This window comes from Homo sapiens, chromosome 5 (genome assembly GCF_000001405.40).
Source record: "Homo sapiens chromosome 5, GRCh38.p14 Primary Assembly".
In the NCBI taxonomy this organism is placed as follows: Eukaryota; Metazoa; Chordata; class Mammalia; order Primates; family Hominidae; genus Homo; species Homo sapiens.
Genome location: NC_000005.10, coordinates 72,459,105 through 72,479,132, shown reverse-complemented (window position 1 = coordinate 72,479,132; position 20,028 = coordinate 72,459,105). Strand labels below are relative to the sequence as shown.

The 20,028-nt window shown below is 43.4% G+C and overlaps 1 protein-coding gene across 1 annotated transcript in view, besides 3 other annotated features; it reads left to right on the top strand.

Moving 5' to 3' along the window:
• Window positions 1–20,028, top strand: part of ZNF366 (zinc finger protein 366) — a 67,508-nt gene that overhangs the window by 28,278 nt on the left and 19,202 nt on the right. The window contains exon 2 of the mRNA NM_152625.3: window positions 17,623–18,968. Within this exon, the coding sequence (NP_689838.1) occupies window positions 17,637–18,968 (1,332 nt within the window). The 5' untranslated portion in view covers window positions 17,623–17,636. The remainder of the gene's footprint in view (window positions 1–17,622; window positions 18,969–20,028) is intronic.
• Window positions 13,073–13,392: an enhancer, noted in NCBI's record as "active region_22651". NCBI's record gives its function as "activates an Ori minimal core promoter by ATAC-STARR-seq in GM12878 lymphoblastoid cells {active_cell/tissue: GM12878}" and the evidence as "EXISTENCE:reporter gene assay evidence [ECO:0000049][PMID:35858748]".
• Window positions 13,763–13,822: an enhancer, noted in NCBI's record as "active region_22650". NCBI's record gives its function as "activates an Ori minimal core promoter by ATAC-STARR-seq in GM12878 lymphoblastoid cells {active_cell/tissue: GM12878}" and the evidence as "EXISTENCE:reporter gene assay evidence [ECO:0000049][PMID:35858748]".
• Window positions 19,471–19,620: an enhancer, noted in NCBI's record as "active region_22649". NCBI's record gives its function as "activates an Ori minimal core promoter by ATAC-STARR-seq in GM12878 lymphoblastoid cells {active_cell/tissue: GM12878}" and the evidence as "EXISTENCE:reporter gene assay evidence [ECO:0000049][PMID:35858748]".

Here is a 20,028-nt window from a genome sequence, read left to right as displayed (position 1 = left end):
ACAATGTTTCCTGTTACAAAGATATTGTTGAAACAAATGGGCAAGAGCTAGGTCTGGGATAAAGGGCTGGATTTACACTCATCCTCAGGAGGAAGAGCCCATTTGAAACTAGAACAGAAGTAGGAGGAAAATCTCTTGGAGGAAAACAGGGAGGGAGGCAGGGATGGTGATGAAACAAGTGTTTATAAGAGTCATTTATGTGAGTAGAAATTGAATGACTATTCTGTAACCTTTTCCAAGTTCCTGGGCTTTGGACTGATTTCAGGGGATTTTTAGAGGCCAATGTCTTCCCAGACTTGAGCCGTCTGAATGATTCAGTAGACAAAGTCCCCTTGGGGTGAGCAAACCCTTTCAATGGCCAGTTCCCTGGCAGGTGCCACCACTTTACATTTGCAGAATATTTCCACCCTTTGCAAAAATCTTTCACCTACTCTATCTTGCTTGATTATTACAGCAACATGTAAAATGAGTAGGATTACCAGGGTTTCCTTTTCTTTTCTAGGGGTAAAAATAAATAGACTCTCAAATTTAACTGACTTTCCAAACTCAGTGACTGAGTTAAGCAAGGTGAGCTGTGCAGTTCACTCTAAAGGAGCAGTGTGGACTAATGAAAGATGTACAGGCAAAGAAATTGGGCACATTTGGGGTGGAATGCCAGCTCAGCCACTTACTCACTCCCTCACCTCAGGCAAGCCAGTTCCTTTCTATGCTTTGATTTCTCATCCATAAAATGGAATAATGGCACTGTGTTGCAGGATTGATGCAGGGATTAAATGATACAATGCTCCATTTCCTTCCATTATTCTATCTTTGTGGTTGTGTGTGTTTTTGTGTGCCAGCTTGAAACCTGCATAGAAGGGGTGGTATATCAAGACACTGAAGAAATGGGTGACTGTGAAGGGCCCCCACACAAGGCCTGGCACAGAGCAGACATTGCATAAATCTAACTCCTCTTTCACTGCCCAGCTCACAAACTCCTGGGAGCCATGACGCCCTTGGAGGCTTTCCCCTGAAGGTTGCTTATGTAGTCTTACAATCCTACTCACTGAAATGTCTTTTCCCACCAAAACTTTGAGAGTGTTGCTGGAATTCAGAAATAGGATTCATTAAAAAAAAACAAACCCTCAAATATTTATCCAGAAGGCCATTATATAAGTGGGCTCAACAACTGTTTGCAATAGTTCTTATGTCATGACTAAGAGCAGAAATTGGCAAACTATAGACCTCAGGTCAAATCCAGCCCACCACTTTTTTTTTTTGTAAATAAAGTTTTATTAAAACACAGCCACTTCCGTTTGTTTATGTGGTGACTCTGGCTGCTTTCATTGCCACTGACAGGATTGAGTAGTTGCAACAGAGACTGTGTGCCTCAGAAAGCTGAAAATATTTACGGTCTGATCCCTTACTTCCAGGTTATGTGACCGTAGATAAGTCATTTATATTCGTTGTGCCTCAAATTCCTTACCTATAAAATAGGGATAATTGTACTGATTAAACCATAGACTCCATATAAAAGACTTGCATGTGGTGAGTCCTCAGTTAATAATAGCTATCATTATTGTTACCAGAATTGTTGATTTGCAGCAAAGCTCTTTGGGTAAAACACTAACCCAGGAACAGAAACCTATTTGGTCACCCTCAGTTTTAAAGGTCTCTCCTGCAGATATCAATAGCAGCTAGAATAGTCATCCTTCCTTGTCACAATCATGTTTTCTTAAGATCAGCCATTTCAATGCCATTAGCTCAACTTCCAGGACATTAAAAGCATATCCTCCCATTCCTCCACACTTAATGTAGACGCTTGGATCAGTGCCACTGGATATTTTCCAATATTCTGTGTACCCTCTCTGGGAAAGAAGGAATTGAATGAGGCATTTTGTTAAAATTAAATGTCAAGAGTACCAGCTGCTTATTTCTAAAAATATGAGCTAGATATTCCAAAAGGTGTGAACCATCAATCAAAGTACAAGGGAAGATTTTGCATTTAGTTGTTTGTTGTTAGAAATTTTTTTAATATTGTAAAGAAAACCAACCTTTTGACAAATGGCATTGAAAGCCATTAAGGGAGTTGAAAAACCAGCAGTTCCACTTTGTCTCCTCTATATGGTGGGAAATGCTTTCTCAATGTAAAGAAATTGTATCCTGAAGTCCAACCAGCATATGGAGGTGATTTCCAAGACAGAAGTGAAAAAAAAAAATCCCACAGCCCGACCTTTCAGAAGTATCATAGTCATGCAGAGAGAAAGCATCCTGCCCTCTTCCTCATTGTTAAGCTTTGTGGGTTAGAAGAGCCATCCCTATGGTGGTAGCCGTATCTCCAACCCAGCTTCTCACCAAGTGGCTGGGCAGGGTCTTGATGTGGGATGGAGAGAAGTCTTCCGCTCAGGGCTCACATGCATACAAATGGTGCACCTGTGAGCACTCCCCACTGCTGCCAGGGGAGAGCATAACCTGTTCAGGACTTTTCCTTTGTGATTACCTGGACCCCAGATGGCCATTGCCATGGCTGTGCCTCATCAACTCAATCTTGACATACAGAAAAATTTTCTCCACACCTCCAACACCCCACCATTAGTATCCTGGGTGGGTGGTGGAAAGGGAGGGATGACTGCAAGTCATAGGGCTTTTTCCAGCAGAATGTCTCTGCTGCCATGCTCACCCACTCACCATGTCCATTCACACTTCCCTTATTGTAGAGACTTCCATTTACATCGAACAGAGATTCACTGAGTACTCCCTACAGTACTTTTCAGCCTAGGATGGCCATGAGAATCACCTACAATACAGAGCTCTTAAAAAACATCGATGCCTGACTCCCACCCAAGAGATCCTGAGGTGATTTTGGTCTAAGAAAGAGCCTAGGTTTGCATTTTTTAAGGGAGGGGGCATTGTATGTTTAAAACTTCCAAAGTGATTCTCGTGTGCTGACCTACCATGTACCAGCCATTCTTCTAGAGACATACAACAGTGAACACAGGCCAGGTACCTGGTCTTATGAAACTTAGGATCTAGTGGGGCAAGTCAGATAATAAACATATGAATGACCAAGAAATTTTTTTATGGTGCTACCAGGAAAATAAAACTTGAGGCTGTGAAAGAGACAGCCAGGGATGCAGAGATTTGTAACTTTAGAGTGGTCAGGGCATCATTGTTATGGGGTCATACTTTGCTTCTTTACACGTGGTGAGCTCAGTGCTACAACAGGGCTGCAGTCAGACAGATCCTGCTCCTTGTTCATGACGGCATGGTGTCACCGTGTTCCCCGAGGCCAGATTTTACGGGCTGATGGACAATGAGAGCCTCTGATTGGGCAGATCAGCCCAAATCAACCACTGTTGCTGGAAGCCACCTTAGAGGGCATGTCTTACCCTCAGTGATTTGGTTTCAGAATGCTCCAGTCTTTTTGTCTTTTACCTACTATTAAATCAATAGCAGAACTCCTTTGACTACCTCACTCCAACATGATATCCTATTATCAGCATCATCTATTGAATACAGTTTTCTGACTTGTATATTGATAGTACTAAAAGCAGATCAAAACTCACTTATTCTGTACAGGCCCTCTGCAAGATAATGGTCTCATTGAATGAATTGCTAAGGTAGGCATTACCAGTTGAGTTTCATAAATGTGGAAACCAAGCCTCTGAAAGTTTAAGAGAATTTAGTGCGGCTTACCTCTGTAGTCCTTTTAGGTTCCTTCCAGCTTAGAAAATCTATGGTCCTATGATCTTTAGTGAGTTTCCTCCAGTGAGGTAGCAAGCCTCTAAGGGAAGGCATTTCATCTTCCCTTAGAAGGAAGATCTTTGCAGAAGACCCCCTTCTCTCCCACCCACCATGGGCCTTCCTTGTGTTGGGCAGTAAATACATCAGGGACCAGTCTGTGAAGGCAGCTTTCTGCTCACTTTTGGGTCCCTGAGCCCTACAGGAAGGTCTTCAGGCTGCGGGCTTCAGGATTGCTGCTCATAAGCTCCTGCATGTCAGAGCAAAGATGGTAACTCTGGCCTTTCTTCTCAAGACTCCAGGGTGGAGTTCTCAGTAAGCAACATTGAGCCTCCTCAAAGAAGCTCCCAAAGCACCTCATAGGCTTTTATAAAGGCTTCTGTGGGTGTTTGTCCCAAGATCTGTACCCTGGACAGAAAAGTTCAAGAGAAACAATTCTTTTATGCTACCCCTCCTTTCTTTCTAATTAAATTTTTAAAAATTGAGATTAAAATGCCAAATAAAGAGTCATTGTAATTCCTAAATTAGGAATTATTATTCAATAAGGCAGACTTAGAATTCCAAATAGTAAGTGGATTCTGTGGTTAAAGATGTGGAGGATTCCATACAGAGAAGGAAATTCCAGTAAGGTTGCTAAGGGAACTATATCTTTGAAGGGAACCCCCTATTTTGTTAATGTAATGCACACACAAAGAATAAGCAACTTGGATTACTTTACATGGCTTGTGTGTGTGTCTGTGTGTGTGTGTGTGTGTGTGTGCATGGGTGTACATTTGAGACAAAGAAAAAGAAAGCAAGGTTATGAATGTGATGAAATCTTATTAAAAAAATTAACATAGAAAACTGAAAAATTACAGTAACCTTCCTTTCTGAATTTGGACTTTCCCTCCCTTACTCTGATGTCCTTTTTTATTTTCACAGTTTAAGTCCCAAAAGAGAGATACAAACCTGTCCAAGATATAAGTCCTGTGATTATTTCAATGTAGTGGAAGAATACTTAAACCCTCACAGATTTAATCAACAGTGGCATTTTCCCCCCTCCCCTGTCCTTTCTCCTTTGTGTGCAGTGGAGAACCACAGCCCTCCAAGGAGACTTTCAGGATGGCTTAGCTGCCCCAGCTCCGTGCAGGAGCCTGAGAGTTCTGAGCCTTTTAATTGGCCTTTGTGGTGCTTCTGAGACAGTGTCAGAAACTCCTGATCTCATCTTCTTGAGGCCAAAGACATAGATTTAAGAGGTTAAAGGTTCATCTCCAGTACCAACAAATGCTCTTTAAACAATGTGCAAATTCAACATAGTGCTCACAGCAATAAATAAGCCATAATGATAATGTTTGCTGCTGCAAATTTCTCCACATGGCAAATTAATTCATTCTGATTCTGAACTGGCAACCAATGGCAACATTAATTTGCCAGATGGAGATACAACCTAAATTCACATGTGCTCTTCAAGCCACAGACAAACCTCTTTTCAAAGGCAGATATAGCAATGCATAGTAAGAGGATCACAACCAAGCAAGGGATATCTACTGAGTATCTTCATGGTGACCAGTACAGTGCAAGGTGCAATGACAGAAGAGAGTATGAATCCTAGGCTGCAGGGAGCTTAAGCACTGGTTAAGCACTAAACCTAAACACAAAATAATCAGAGTGCAATATAGGGGGAAAACATACATTTAACCCGGGGATCAGTGGGTTTAATGTCATAGGATTTGAAACAAGAGACAGATAACTGAGTAGGGAGCAAAGGTTTCCGGGAAGAAGCTGAACTTAAGTTCAGCCGGGAAGAATGGAATGGGTCAATGAAAAGAACATTTCTGGATGGCCAATCAGTCTAAACAAAGGCAACGAGGAAGGAATTATTATGCCTCTTGTAGCTAATTGTGAAAGTCTGATCTGACTGCAGTTGACAGGATTTTAGAGAGAAGGGGAACAGAGTTGGACTTGATTATGGAGAACTTTGACAGTCAGGTAGAGGAATTGACATTTGATTTGCTCTATATATCAGATAAGGATTGTGTTTCGCTGCAAGCCACAGAACTCTGAATACATTTTCTTAACCAAGTAAAGGATTCATTTTCTCAAATAACAAGAAGACCAGCACCAAGTGGGTACAGGAGCTCCACACTGACAATCTCCCTCTACCTCTTGACCATACATGGTAGGAAGCATTGTTGCCTCATTGTTCCAATATGGCTGCTCCTCCTCCAGCCTCATATCCACATTCCAGGCAGTTTTATCTACTATTTATTGTAAAAGAACAGAACAAAATTCTCTTAAGACTAGCAAATTATAGCAATTTGAAAATCCATCACTTACAAATGTTAAGTACTGGTGATTGTATAAGATAGTGACAACGCAGAAAGGTTTAGGAAATGGTCCCTGGCTTCAAGGAGATCCCAGTGTTGTGGGAGGTTAGATTATGCAATACCCCATGAGGAAGCTCCCTCGAGGGTGTGGGCATAGTCTGTGGGAGTTGAGAGGAAGGGGGACTGATTCTGTCTGAGGGCTGGGGCATGATTTGCACTTTGATATTGTGTGGTTCTACAGTGGTACAAATAGGACTGGACTTTTCATTTACCCTGAAAGCAGCTTTTAAGCAACTCAACTACATTAGGGCCCCGGGGAAGGACTTTACATTGCCAAAATCTACAGGGCTCACCCTTGACACGCCAGAGTGCCCTCTCAGCACTGGGGAAGAAGCCAGGGAGAAACTCGGAGGGCTGGAATGGAGAAACTGGATTAATCATATTTGCAGTGTGTAATTCTGTAATTACTATGAATCTTTCTAACCGATTCTTCTTTATTTCAAGGTTAACTGCAGTTCATTTTTGGACTTATACTTACTGGCTTTCTTAATGCAGTTAATTGAAGGTCAGCCTAATTTTGCAAGTCCCCAAATTCTTCCTCTGTTCTACAGAACCCACTGGTAGGGAAGGCTGTGGCACTGGTTGGGAAAGGGGAAACTTTTTCTCTCATCCTTCACATCCAAAGATAGTCCTTCATCCTTTTCATGTTGTTTTAACTGACATTTTAATGATTAAATAAAAACACACAAAAAAAGAACATTTTGAAAGAAAATAGTTTCTGATGTTAGTCAAGGAAATGTAGTTCTGCTTTTTGTTCTCTCATGTTCAGTAAATCAACCAACCAGTTCAATATTCCTCTAGTAGCTCCTAAAATGTTTTGCACGACATCTGGTTGTCAGTTTCTTTCACTAGATGGTGAGTTCCTTGAACCTAGTTTTTGGTTTATAAGACATTGTCCTCCTGGCACCCAGCATAGTGCAGACACAGAAGAGACACTTGAAGCAGTTTGCTGAGTGAATACCTGCAGGGCAGTTCCTCACAGTCTGAGTTTTTACTGTGGCTTGTATTTATTTTCCTGATGATACAAGCCTAGGTCATAAAACTGTATGCCCAAAGAAAAAGCCTGGGTGAAGTCTGACAGGAGCATCCAAAGACCTTAGGCAGAGGCTAAGACTGGAGGATCACTTGAGGCCAGGAGTTCAAGACCAGCCTGGGCAACAAAGTGAGACCCCGTCTCTTAAAAAAAAATTTTTTTTAAGACCTTGGGCAGAAAAATCAAGGAGTCTATTAAAATGCCTCAAGAGAATTTTTCAGAGCTCAAAAGGAAGGGAATCCCAAGTCTAATTTTGTCTGAGTGTTTGCTGTTTGAAAGCCAATATGAATTTTTACATTTTTAATGCAAGTGTTTGAATAGCTAAGTCATCTACAGTGTATAGAAGTATAAGTTGCAAAAGTATACCATTAAAAGTTTCCTTTCCACCCAGGCACTGAACAGCTGCAGAGGCACCCACCCATAGACTATGATGGGAACGGCCCCTCCATAAATTGGTAACTCAGCTGCTTCACTCCCAAACCTTCCTCCTCCAGCCATACAGTCCTTTTCCCCAGAGACAGCAGATAATACCAGATTCTTCTATTTCCTTCTAGAGCTAGGCTATCTGTACATGTACACAAGGAGATAAGTGCATGTATTTTATCAGTATGTATATTTTATAAGAATGATTTTAGTGAGCAGAATCAATAGAAAAAAATCAATATGAAGCAGACGAATGAGAAGACTTGGAACAATAAAAATGTAAAGTGGGGAGAAAAGGTATCCAGATGCAGAGTGATCATTCATCAGAAGGCAGAAATATAGCAAGAAGTCTACTACATAAAATAAAAAGAAACAGTGAACAGTGGGGTCACAGACCCATCTGCCCATGAGGATGGGCTTTTCCACAAAGCGAATGAGCATTTGCATGGAGAGTCACGGGGAATCTGCAGCTATTGAGTCAGTGAGGGAAATCATGGTGGCCTGCTCCCCCAGGACACACTGTATTTGCAGGAATGTGGGTGTGTTTTACTCTGTGGTTGCATACTCACTGAGAGACTCATTGGCATTTGCCCACTGTCACCTTGGGCATTTTCAGAACCTTCCCACATTCCTTTATGTTATTTCAGTGAAACAGGACATTCTATCTTTCATATCAAAGGAACATGCCACTCATTGGCCAAGGAGCCTGAGCCAGGATGAAGCAGGGGCCATCCATTCTGAGGAGCACTACCCCAGTCCCTGCTATGCCATGGCTAAAGCACCTTCCTCATGGGAGATGTTCTTGGCAGTTAATTTACGCGAGGTTGGCTTGGGATAAACTGGGACAGGACAAGTCAACCAGTTAGTCCTGTCTTCCGGAAATGGAAAAATTTTGCTTGGGATCAGGGAGCAAGAGAAACCTAGGACACGGTTATTTGTCAAGTAAATTTCCAAGTAATGATTGGATTTGAACCATGTATGAGGCACCAGGCAAGTTTCTGACTTTCTAACCAAACTATGTTAGAAATATAGGACATCCACCCACACAGAAAGGTGACTGGCAGCACAGGACCCTGCCAATGAGTGGAACATCCAACAATTGTGATAGGCTTCAGAGAAGTGAGGGGTTCACTTCTGGCTCTTTTGGAAAGAAAGGTTTCACCTAGAAGTCTCCATAAAGACTCCACTGGGGAAGGTTCTCTCCTCCTCCTGCCCTGCAGAATCTTGCAGCAATATGGCGGATACAGCCAATGAAATGTCAAAGAAAGAAGGCAGTTGGCTGCTCAGGTAGGCTGCATGGGAGAGCAGCATCTGGTGGGGCCATGGCAACTTAGGATTTGGCCTGCAAGTGTGGAGATTATTATAATAAACAACTTCCATGTTGTCAGAGAACTCAGTTCATCAAGCTTAGGGGATATGATGCCCAAGAATGACCTATCAATACCAATCTTTGGATTTACAAGAGGTAGAAGTATATTTTCTAATGGCCAGAATGATCTTGTCCACTGATAGCAGACTACTTCATTATTATTATTATTTATTTTTTAAGTCGGGGTCTTGCTGTGTTGCCCAGGTTAGAATGCAGTGGCATGATCAGGGCTCACTGCAGCCTTGAAATCCCGAGCTCAAGCAATCTTCCCACCTCAGCGTCCTGAGTAGCTGGGAAGGCAGGCCCATACCACCATACCTGGCTAAGTTTTTTGTTGTTGTTATTGTTGCTGTTGTTGTTTGCAGAGACAGTGATCTCAAACTCCTGGCCTCAAGCAATCCTCTGGCCTCAGCCTCCCTAGTTGCTGGGATTACAGGCGTGAGCCACTGTGCCAGGCTCCAGATGATTTTGCATTTCAAGGAATGTTAGGGCAATTATAGAAGATTGTTCACTGAACATGCAATCAAGGCAAAAGACTACCTTGAAGGATAACTTAATGCATCATCCCTGCCCCCACAATATTCTTGCTGAATAGACTATACACACACAAAAATGCTGGTATCTACGATATTTAAAATCTCCCCTTTGGAAAGAGCAGGAATTAAGATCATTAAATTCTCATAACCCTGTTCCCCTCTGTATATATCATATGAATATCATTGGACACATTCCACAAATATGAATTGATTATTGGGTGGGGTCTGGTCACCTTGGCTATTGCTAGATGTTTTCTAAATATCCTCATATACACTTTTAATATCGACGTGCAGAATAGCATTTTTTGTATATTTCTTTTATATTTTTTAACATTTTTAATTTAAATTCAGTAAAATTCATTCCTTCGGTTCTTTAAATTTTGACAAATTACAGAGTTGTGTAATTACCACCACAAGCAAAATACAAAATATTTCTATCAACCTCTCCCCAGCTAATATTTCCTTGAGTTATGCTTTTAAAATAGGCTCCTTCCACAGATGGCTAACCTCATCAATTATGCATTGATTCTCAGCACTTTTGCTTGCAGATCATCGTATTTTCTGGTACTATCTACCAGACTGAATTCTGGAGCCCACCAGACTGAATATGCTGTCATTTCCAGAGGTGGACAAAATGAAGGTTTCTAACACACATATGTATTTTTTGTGTAGCTAAGAGTAAGTTTATCAAATTTATTTGATATATGAACATGAACAAACAACATATATTCTAAAGACATTCCCTCCAAAGAAAGTTGGAGAAAAATTCTAACATTCTAGTTAGAGCACCATCTATAAGAGATATACTAGCTCTGAGGGTTGGGGAAGAGAACTGCTAAGTCATATCTCCAATTCATTTCCTTCCTTTAAATGGGTCACGAGGACAGAGATAACCCCAACACACTAGCAGCTGTTCCAAGCTCAAATAATTATATTCACTCCTGCTTTCCAAAAACTAGGCCTAGGTATTCAGCACTTAAAAGAAAAACTTCTCTTTCCTAAATGAAACCCACATCCATTTTAACCTATGCAAGTTAGTAGCTGAATCTGTTGTTGATAATTTTTTTACTAAGGGCTTCTTATCAATATATACATTTAAGATACACAAATGGTAAATATGCATGTTCATTATGGACAATTTAAACAATACACAACTAAACTTGACTTTATATTATGTCTTGGTTGTATTTAGGAACTTTCAAAAATTGATTTTGTGAGTTCAATTGGCTGTTTCACGTGTGAACAAGTCTCATCACCAAATCGTATTTTCTGGCCACCTAGAGGACTTGGTCCACATCATGGGCTGACAGATTATTTTTATAACAAAATGGGAGGAATTGGGGTTTATAAATTAAATGGGGGCCAGAAGGGCATCTGGAAGGGTCCTGGGGCCTGGCCCAGTATCGGGTTACCTCTTTTTGGTTCTACCACTGACCCAGAGAGTGACGAGGCAGAACATTCACTTTTTTGACCACATATTGCTCCATTTGCCAGCTATCTTTTGAGACCGTTCTATTCCTGCCAATCGCAGGAATGCCAGACTGAGTCATCACTTGCCAAATATCTACAAATGAAGAACTCAGCAGTACAAGTTCATATATATTAAGACAATTATGTTGAAACGTTAGAACATTTCATTTTAAGACTTAAAAATCCCTCTTCAGAGGACCCTCACTAGGAGATCTTTTGTATGAACAGAGAAGATAACCGCCAGTTCATGTCTATCCTCCTCTGCCTTCCTGTAGTCCTCCCCACCCCCTACCCTTTGCTTCTCTTCACACTGCTATTTATTCTCACTATTTTCCTTGACTCTCACCTTTTCCCTGCTTCCACCTCTGTTGAGAACAGAGCTCTAGGGTACATCACATAAGTAAACTGCCACTCTCATATTACAAGGGAAGTCAGGGCCTCCAGGAGTAAAATGTAACATTTTCCAATGAAAATGGGAAAGCTTCAAGGAATAAAGAGTTCATTTTCTCTCTTTCGTGGAAGAGTGAATATTCTTTTGTGAATTTCAGGACCAACAGAAGTCAGTGTGGTGGAGGAGAGATAAAGAGATTTGCCCCTGGCATGCTGGCTCACTGTGACTCTTTCAAGAATATTTACTGGAATGACCTTTGATTTGAATGCGAACCACAAAATACCAGTAATTTTATCTGGGGAATATTTATATTTTGGTGCAGTAGGTGATTTCCCAATTAAAGACCATTATTAGCAGCATATTTCCCCCAAAACTAAATGTGGTTTTATCTTGGTCAGGCCTTGGATTTCTCTCATTGGTCCTTATGGGTCAAAGAGGAGGTTTTGGTTTTGGTTTTAAAATTCATTCATTCCCGATTTCCCTATTTCTATAACCAACTCTTATGGATAATAGCAGTTAAGGAAGCTATCTGAGCCCCAGATTCCTTTAACACAGATGAACCCAATATTTTCCTTTTCAAACTATTTGTTTCTTGATTTATAGCCTATTGGGTTTGGGTGATGCATTGTAGAAAGCCAGGGACCTTAGAAAAATGTCTGACCGTAACAATGAAAATGTATGATTATTCTAAAGTCTTCTCCCTCTTATTAGTACAAAGAATGGGTTGCAACTAATTTCCCAAACATTTTTTTAGGTGGAAGAGTGAAGGGTGACTACCCATTCTTGGTTTACATTTCCCTTTCTCAGTCCAGGAGTCTTTCTTTCTACCCATGACTGCCCTTCGGCCTTTTCAGGAATCTGTTTTCTGGCTGGGTTGCAGAACTTGGTGGCACTTTGATAATGGCTCTCCAGCATTAGTGTACCAGGCCTTAGGGCTTACCCTGAATCTGAGAGTTAGCTCAGAGAATAGTGCCCTTGGATGAGGAGGGTACGCAACAACTCACACAAAGCGTGTGTATCAAGTTCTTTTCATAACTACCTAATAACTTATAGATGTGCTGATGATTTCATTAGGGAAATATCGAAAGTCATCCACAGTCTAAATAACACAAGATAAAATTATACCTTTTAAAACTTCATGGGAGACTTTAAAAACAAGAACCACCCATTTCTTCTCTCATCCCAAAGCAGTTGATTGGGCATCTACTTTGAGCCAGGTTCCATCCCGGGAATTGAAGATGCAGCAGTGAATAAAACAGATCCAGTCCCTGTCTTCACAGTTTAGCAAGAATTGCAAGAGCTGGTTTGCTAGTGTTGACCCAGCACTATTCTAGTGTCTGAGACTTTGGGTTTGACAAACAGGTCCTCCTGTCCCTAGGAAGGTGACCTCTGATGTTAGATTCGGGGCAATGTTTCAGTTTCTCACACACTGGCTGAAATAGCTCATGAGATCAGCCTTTGCTTCAACTCCCCATTCATCAAAGCAGACTGTTATTAATATAAGCTTGAAAACATCTCCGTAATAGCAAAAACAGCCATAGAGAAGGGATGGGGAGGTATTCTTTAACTACATGGTTTATCGCCACATGGTATGAATAAACTCACCCTAGCCTTATCCATAGCCTTTTTGAGCGTGGTTCACCTTCGCTGCTGTGACAAGACCAACTCAGGATAAATGGGTAAAGTCGTGGTTAACTTGCAAGGCAGAGGCCCAGATGCCATGAGTCATGATCAAGAGCTTCAGCTTAGAAAACAGACATGATGTTAGACAGCATCAAACCACTGATCACAACCCAGTCCCCCTCTCCTGTCCACTCTTTCTCACTCCTTAAGGGCAGCATACTGTCTAGTGTTTAACATACTTTCTCATACACATTCTAAATTTCCAACAACCCTATGAGGATATCCTAACTCCCATTTCATGAATGAGAAAATCAAACCTCAAAAGTAACTTACTCACTCTCCCACAGCTGCTAGCACAAAGCCAACATTCAAACCTAGACTTTCAGGCTCCAAACCAACGCTCTTTCCATTATCCCACACGCAGCGGCTTTTACATTTTCAGTTCTTCTTTCTTTTTGCACGTTGTTTCAACTCTTTCTGGTGGGGAACTGTCTTACAACCTGCTGGTTTTCTCCAGGGTCTCTGGAGGCAGCCATGGATCAATGACTCAGAGGAGGGCTTGCCCCACCTCCTCATGTTTTGGGTCTCTTAACCAGATTGCCATCCCCAAGCCTCTCCTGCCTCCTGCATAAGAATCCTGTCAGTTTTATGGGTGCCTGTGGATCTACTTTAAGAAATAGAGCGGAGCATGTGGGTGGTACACATTGAGGTTTTCTATGAATCTATTAATATTTTTGCTGAGGACACCCAGAATTTTAACTTGACTGATTTCAAGATAAATTACCTCCTCAGGAAGACATCCTTCCCCTGCTTTTCCCTTCAACACTCCCCTTCCCCAGGATGGTTTGTTTGCTAGATTTTGTTGTTGTTGTTGTTTCACCACCTCGGGCTTCTCCTTATCACCTGGTGCTGGTGCTCAAAGGCAGAGATATTAATAGCTAGAAGCAGCCACAGCTGATCTCTCTTTCAAGCAGGCCAAGGGGAAATCAGATCTAGTTCTCCTTGACCTCTGTAGGGACCGGTGATGATCCTTAAGGTCTTTATGCAGAAAAACATCTGTATTCAGAAAGGGACTGCTGTTTTAAATGTCTGTAAAAATTTCCCTGGATAGATCCTACTTTTTTCTTTTTCTTTTTCTTTTTTTTAGACAGAGTCTTGCTCTGTCACCCAGACTAGAGTGCAGTGGTGCAATCTCGGCTCACTGCAACCTCCGACTCCTGGGTTCAAGCAATCGTCCTGCCTCAGCCTCCCAAGTAGCTGGGATTACAGGCACCCGCCACTACACCTGGCTAATTTTTGAATTTTTAATAGAGACGGGTTTCACCATCTTGGCCAGGCTGGTCTCAAACTCCTGACCTCATGATCCACCTGCCTCAGCCTCCCAAATTGCTGGGATTACAGGCATGAGCCATTGCGCCCAGCCGAGATCCTACTTTTTAAAAAACCTTCTGGGTTTCTGATTTTATTCTAGTGTGCACAGACTACTATTTTAAGGGTGGGAGAATCATTATACATACACACAGAAACTGGGGGAAATTAATATTATGACATTAAGATACGTAAAAAATTAAAATGTATGCACCTAAATTCTCTGCATTTGGGGACATAATTGTGCCATTTATGTTTAAAGAAATAGCCACATCATCTCTGTTCGACATTTTTTTTTTTGCTTTACTAGGACAATGGTGACAAAAATTCAAATGCTGAAAATAAATATGCTTTTGAGATTAACATTATATTAGGAGTATATTACAACTCCTAATGTATTAAAAGGAAACAATTAGTTGATTATGTCATAACTAAAAACAAAAATATTAAACAAAGGCAATAATAACGTGCATAGACTGAAATAACTTCCGTTTCACAATTAGTGATAACATTCCATTCCAAGTCGGTAGCTTTCCAGTATAAGCTACAGCACGTTGTATAAAGATACAACACGTCATTAGCCATGTACTTAAGAAGAAGTAACTTCTTAATAATAAAATACACAGGAAACTCAGTACGTTTTGGCCCAGGTTCTGACATGTTTCTTTTTCACTAATTCTCAACCCAAGCTCTCTAGCATGTACCAGGAATTATTGCCTCTTTTAATCAGAGGAAATTTTTAAAAAGAGAACCAGTTTGCTTCTCGATGGGCTCTGCAATGGTTTGCCATAGGTACTTGTAGTCTGGAAGAGACTTTTCCAATCTGAGCAGCCTTTCTACTAAAAGAAATTTATCTCTCAAGGGGTTATAAACCGACTGTGTTCCAAATGAAATAATAGGGAAAGGATCTTCCATTTTCCCCTCCAATTCAGCAGGACACGTTTAGTCTTGTTGAAAGTCAATTATTTTTATAGATGCAACAAATTCTTGGGCCAGGGCCACACCCTCTATAACTCTATGTGAATCTAGAGATCAGGACCTGCTGGATTGCAAGCTAAGAGATGATTTAGTAAACAAGAAAAACCATCAAATAACCTCTGTTTCCCCATCCTCCTGCTGGTCCTTTCTGATAGCGCAGCACGACTCTCATTTCACCCACCCACACCCCTCCGGGTCTCATAAAGCTAGACATTTCATTCTCCCACTGCCCTTGTCACTTCCTACAATTGCCTGGCCCCTGAGGCAGCAGTGGAAGAAGATCTAGCATTGCAATAAGAATTTTAGGAGGAAGCAAAGCTAAGACACAGGCTGGGCCTACCATTTGCTGGACATACAAGAGCTTGCTCATAATTACTAAGCCCCAAACCCACGGTAAGAAAGACAAGCCAGGGCTATCTTTCCACTCACATAAACACAAAGCAAATATTAAGCATTATTTTTTTAGTTATCTGTCCAGCTTTAAATAATGCCCAGATAGTTAAATAATAAGGCACATATTTTTTCCTCATTGGATTGTCTGTATATAGACTAGGTAACCAAACAAAAAAAGGCTCATTTTTGTTTTAATTGTACTGCAGCTCTCAAGCCTCCCAAAAAGACACACATGCCATTTAAGAATTTAAGAACAGCTGGATCATTGTAAAAGCTGTATCCGACTCGCCAAGGACCATAGAAAATCACTGAAAACTGTTGGCCCTCTCAGCCCTGGGACCTTCACCCCATATTGCCTTGTTTGTAGACAATCCCAAGGGCTAGAGCCCTGAGTTAGTCTAAGACTCTATGTCAGCCCTATCTCCAGTGGCCCTACATCAGACCTTACACCTGGCCAAGCCAGCTGGCTCCATGGGAGCATCTGATGAGCAAAAGGGATTGATCCCACTCAAACTCAGAGGACTTGGGTAGAACTGACCCTTACTGGAAATGTGGAGTTAGCACTTGGTTCATTCTGTCAGTATCCATATGAAGAAGACAGAAAACTGGCAAGGATGGGTGCAGTGGCTCACGCCTGTAATCCCACAACTGTGGGAGGCCGAGGCGGGTGGATCACTTGAGATCGGGAGTTCAAGACCAGCCTGGCCAACATGGTGAAACCCCGTCTCTACTAAAAACACAAAGATTAACAGGGCGTGGTGGCGCACACCTGTAATCTCAGCTACTCAGGAGGCTGAGGCACAAGGGTCACTTGAACCCAGGAGGCGGATATTGCAGTAAGCTAAGATTGTGCCACTGGACTGCACTTCAGCCTGGGCAACAGAGCCAGACTCCATCTCCAAAAAAAAAAAAAAAGAAAGAAAGAAAGAAAGAAAGAAAGAAAGAAAGAAAGAAAACTGGCAAGGAGACGTGAAAAACACTGCCCCTTGTTCAGACTCTAGTCCCACCACCAGCTCTTTCAGACATGCCTATGTCTCAGGACACAGTAACTGGCTGTGTCAGCAGGGGACATGTCAGGCACCACAGGAGTCACCAAGCCTGCCCCTTACTTTGACACCTGTCTGAAAGGAGAGACCCATGTGCGGCTTTATTTCACATAATAAAGGAATATTTCATTCCAGCTTGCTTCAGGTTTAAGAGTGGAATGTGTACATTGCCAGGATGACTTTATAACATTGAGCTACTCAATATGCTTTTTAAAATCATGTTTATGTCATTCACTCCCTATGCCTTAGTAGCACACCTTACTCAGAGTGGATACTCAGAAACGATTAGATCTGAGTTAAGCATTAACATCCCTTCTCCTATGAGGCTTTGAATATCCTCATTTTCCAGCAGCAAAGGCCCAAGCAAGGGAGTAGCAGTGAAAATTGGTTTCCTTACACAAAGAAAAGACCCTAAAAGTCACTTTCCAATCACCATTAGTAGATGTAATTACAACTCAGATTGAAAAGCTGCAGCAGAATGGGTCTAGTGCTCACTCCTTCAGTGAGTACCTATGTAACTTGAGAATGTCATTTCATTTATCTGGACTTTGGTACCCTGATCTTAAATGGGGACAATGGCCAGATGAGTTCTCAGGTTTCTTCCCAAACTAGTCCACTTCCCTTGCTACCATCACCCCTTGTGGTTTTGTGGCTGGATTTACACTGGAGCCCAATTTGATTCAGCCCTAGGGTCACCCCAAGAGGCCAGTGCTATCCATATTGATAACTGGGTTTGCAAGGAGAAAGAAAAGCGATATTTTGAACAGCCCTAGGATAAATGAGGGTCCATATTAAGCAAGTACTACTCTTCATAAATTAGTACTGATAAATAGCCATAATCCTTAAGGAAAAAGAGAATTTTAAACAAAACCAAACCAAAACACACAAGTTTCTTTCTCTTTAAAGGAAAATTGCCAAGGATGCAGAAGGAAATGAAGATGATCAAAGACGAGGATGTGCATTTCGACTTGGCTGTGAAGAAGACCCCCTCCTTTCCCCACTGCCTGCAGCCAGTGGCTTCTCGGGGAAAGGCTCCCCAAAGACACCCCTTCCCGGAAGCTCTCCGAGGGCCATTTTCCCAGTTTCGGTATGAACCTCCCCCAGGAGACCTAGATGGGTTCCCCGGGGTCTTCGAAGGAGCAGGGTCTAGGAAACGGAAGAGCATGCCCACAAAGATGCCCTATAACCACCCTGCAGAAGAAGTCACCCTCGCCCTCCACTCAGAGGAGAACAAAAACCACGGCCTTCCCAACCTCCCTTTGCTGTTCCCGCAGCCCCCGCGCCCCAAGTATGACTCTCAGATGATCGACCTGTGCAACGTGGGCTTCCAATTCTACCGCAGCCTGGAACACTTTGGGGGCAAGCCCGTCAAGCAGGAACCCATTAAGCCCAGCGCCGTGTGGCCCCAGCCAACGCCCACTCCATTCCTGCCCACGCCCTACCCCTACTACCCCAAAGTCCACCCGGGCCTCATGTTCCCCTTCTTCGTGCCCTCGTCCTCGCCCTTCCCCTTCAGCCGGCACACCTTCCTGCCCAAGCAGCCCCCGGAACCTCTGCTGCCCCGGAAAGCCGAGCCCCAGGAGAGCGAGGAGACCAAGCAGAAGGTGGAGAGGGTGGACGTGAACGTGCAGATCGATGACAGCTACTACGTGGACGTGGGCGGCTCGCAGAAGCGCTGGCAGTGCCCCACCTGCGAGAAGTCCTACACCTCCAAGTACAACCTGGTCACCCACATCCTGGGCCACAGTGGGATCAAGCCGCACGCGTGCACGCACTGCGGGAAGCTCTTCAAGCAGCTCAGCCACCTGCATACCCACATGCTGACCCACCAGGGCACGCGGCCCCACAAGTGCCAGGTGTGCCACAAGGCCTTCACCCAGACCAGCCACCTGAAGCGCCACATGATGCAGCACAGCGAGGTGAAGCCGCACAACTGCCGCGTGTGCGGCCGCGGCTTTGCCTACCCCAGCGAGCTCAAGGCCCACGAAGCCAAGCACGCCAGTGGGCGCGAGAACATCTGTGTGGAGTGCGGCCTCGACTTCCCCACCTTGGCCCAGCTGAAGAGACACCTCACCACGCACCGGGGCCCCATCCAGTACAACTGCTCCGAGTGCGACAAGACCTTCCAGTACCCGAGCCAGCTGCAGAACCACATGATGAAGCACAAGGACATCCGGCCCTACATCTGCTCAGAGTGTGGCATGGAGTTTGTGCAGCCGCACCACCTCAAGCAGCACTCCCTCACCCACAAGGTACTGCGGGGCCTCTGGTGGGGCGGACGGGGCCTTGGGAAGAGGAGCGGGGCCCTGAGCAGAGCACTGGGGAGCAGGACGCCTGTGCCGCTCTGCACCTTACCCCGAGGAGGTGGGCAACCCCGGACAAGCGGTCCCTTGGCCGAGCCCTGAGGTCCTTCCTCACGTTTAAATAAGAGAGAACGATTCTCGACCAAGCCCTTTGCCCCAGCAGCCTTCTAGACTCTAAGGTAGGCCTAGAAATAAATAATGCAGACATTTGCAGAGGAGATGAGGAAGGATGCTCCCTAGCCTCCAAGAATCTTGCAGATTCGGTTTCTAGAAACTTCATCCAAGGCACTAGCATGAGTAAGTCATCAGACCCTAGATCAGCTCTGTGCCTGGGATGTGCCAGGGAGCACCTTCTGGATAATTCTCTTCGTCTTGTACTGTTGAAGCAGTGGAAAACTTTTTGGATTGTTTTCTCCCTCAACTGTGAGACCTGCTTCATATGCAAGTTCTCCAAGGGAAGCAGAGCTTGGCTGAGGCCGGCAGGGCCTATACCTCCCTGCGTTGGACCCGTGCCTAGCTGGGTGAAGTGCCCTGTGGTTTACATTGTAGGAGGCATGAGAAAGCATCCTTCTCTGTTTGGTTTTGTTTGATCTTCTCTGTGCTCAGGTCTTCAAGGGGAAATACAGGCCCAAGAGTCTGAGTTCAGCCCAGTTTGCAACCATAGCCCTGGAGTCATTCAGGCTGAACTAAAACAAGGCCCTAGTGGTGTTCCTGAAATCTTACCCCAGCTAAAGTATGGAACCTGCTCTGAGCCTCCGAGAGGGAGTTTTGCCCCCACTGACTCCCACTCTCACACCCTTAACCTCAAGTGGTTTTCTTGGCAGGAAAGACTTCTAGCAAGCCAGAGTTTCTAAAGCATTCTTTAATTCTGAAAGGTCAGGAGAGGACTTTGCCCAGCCAAGATAATGTTTCTGCTGTGCTATAATACGTTTCACTTCTTAGGTTAGGACAAAACACAGGGTATTTTCTGGCTCTGCCACAGAGATGAAATGTGTGGCTGCCTTGTGGG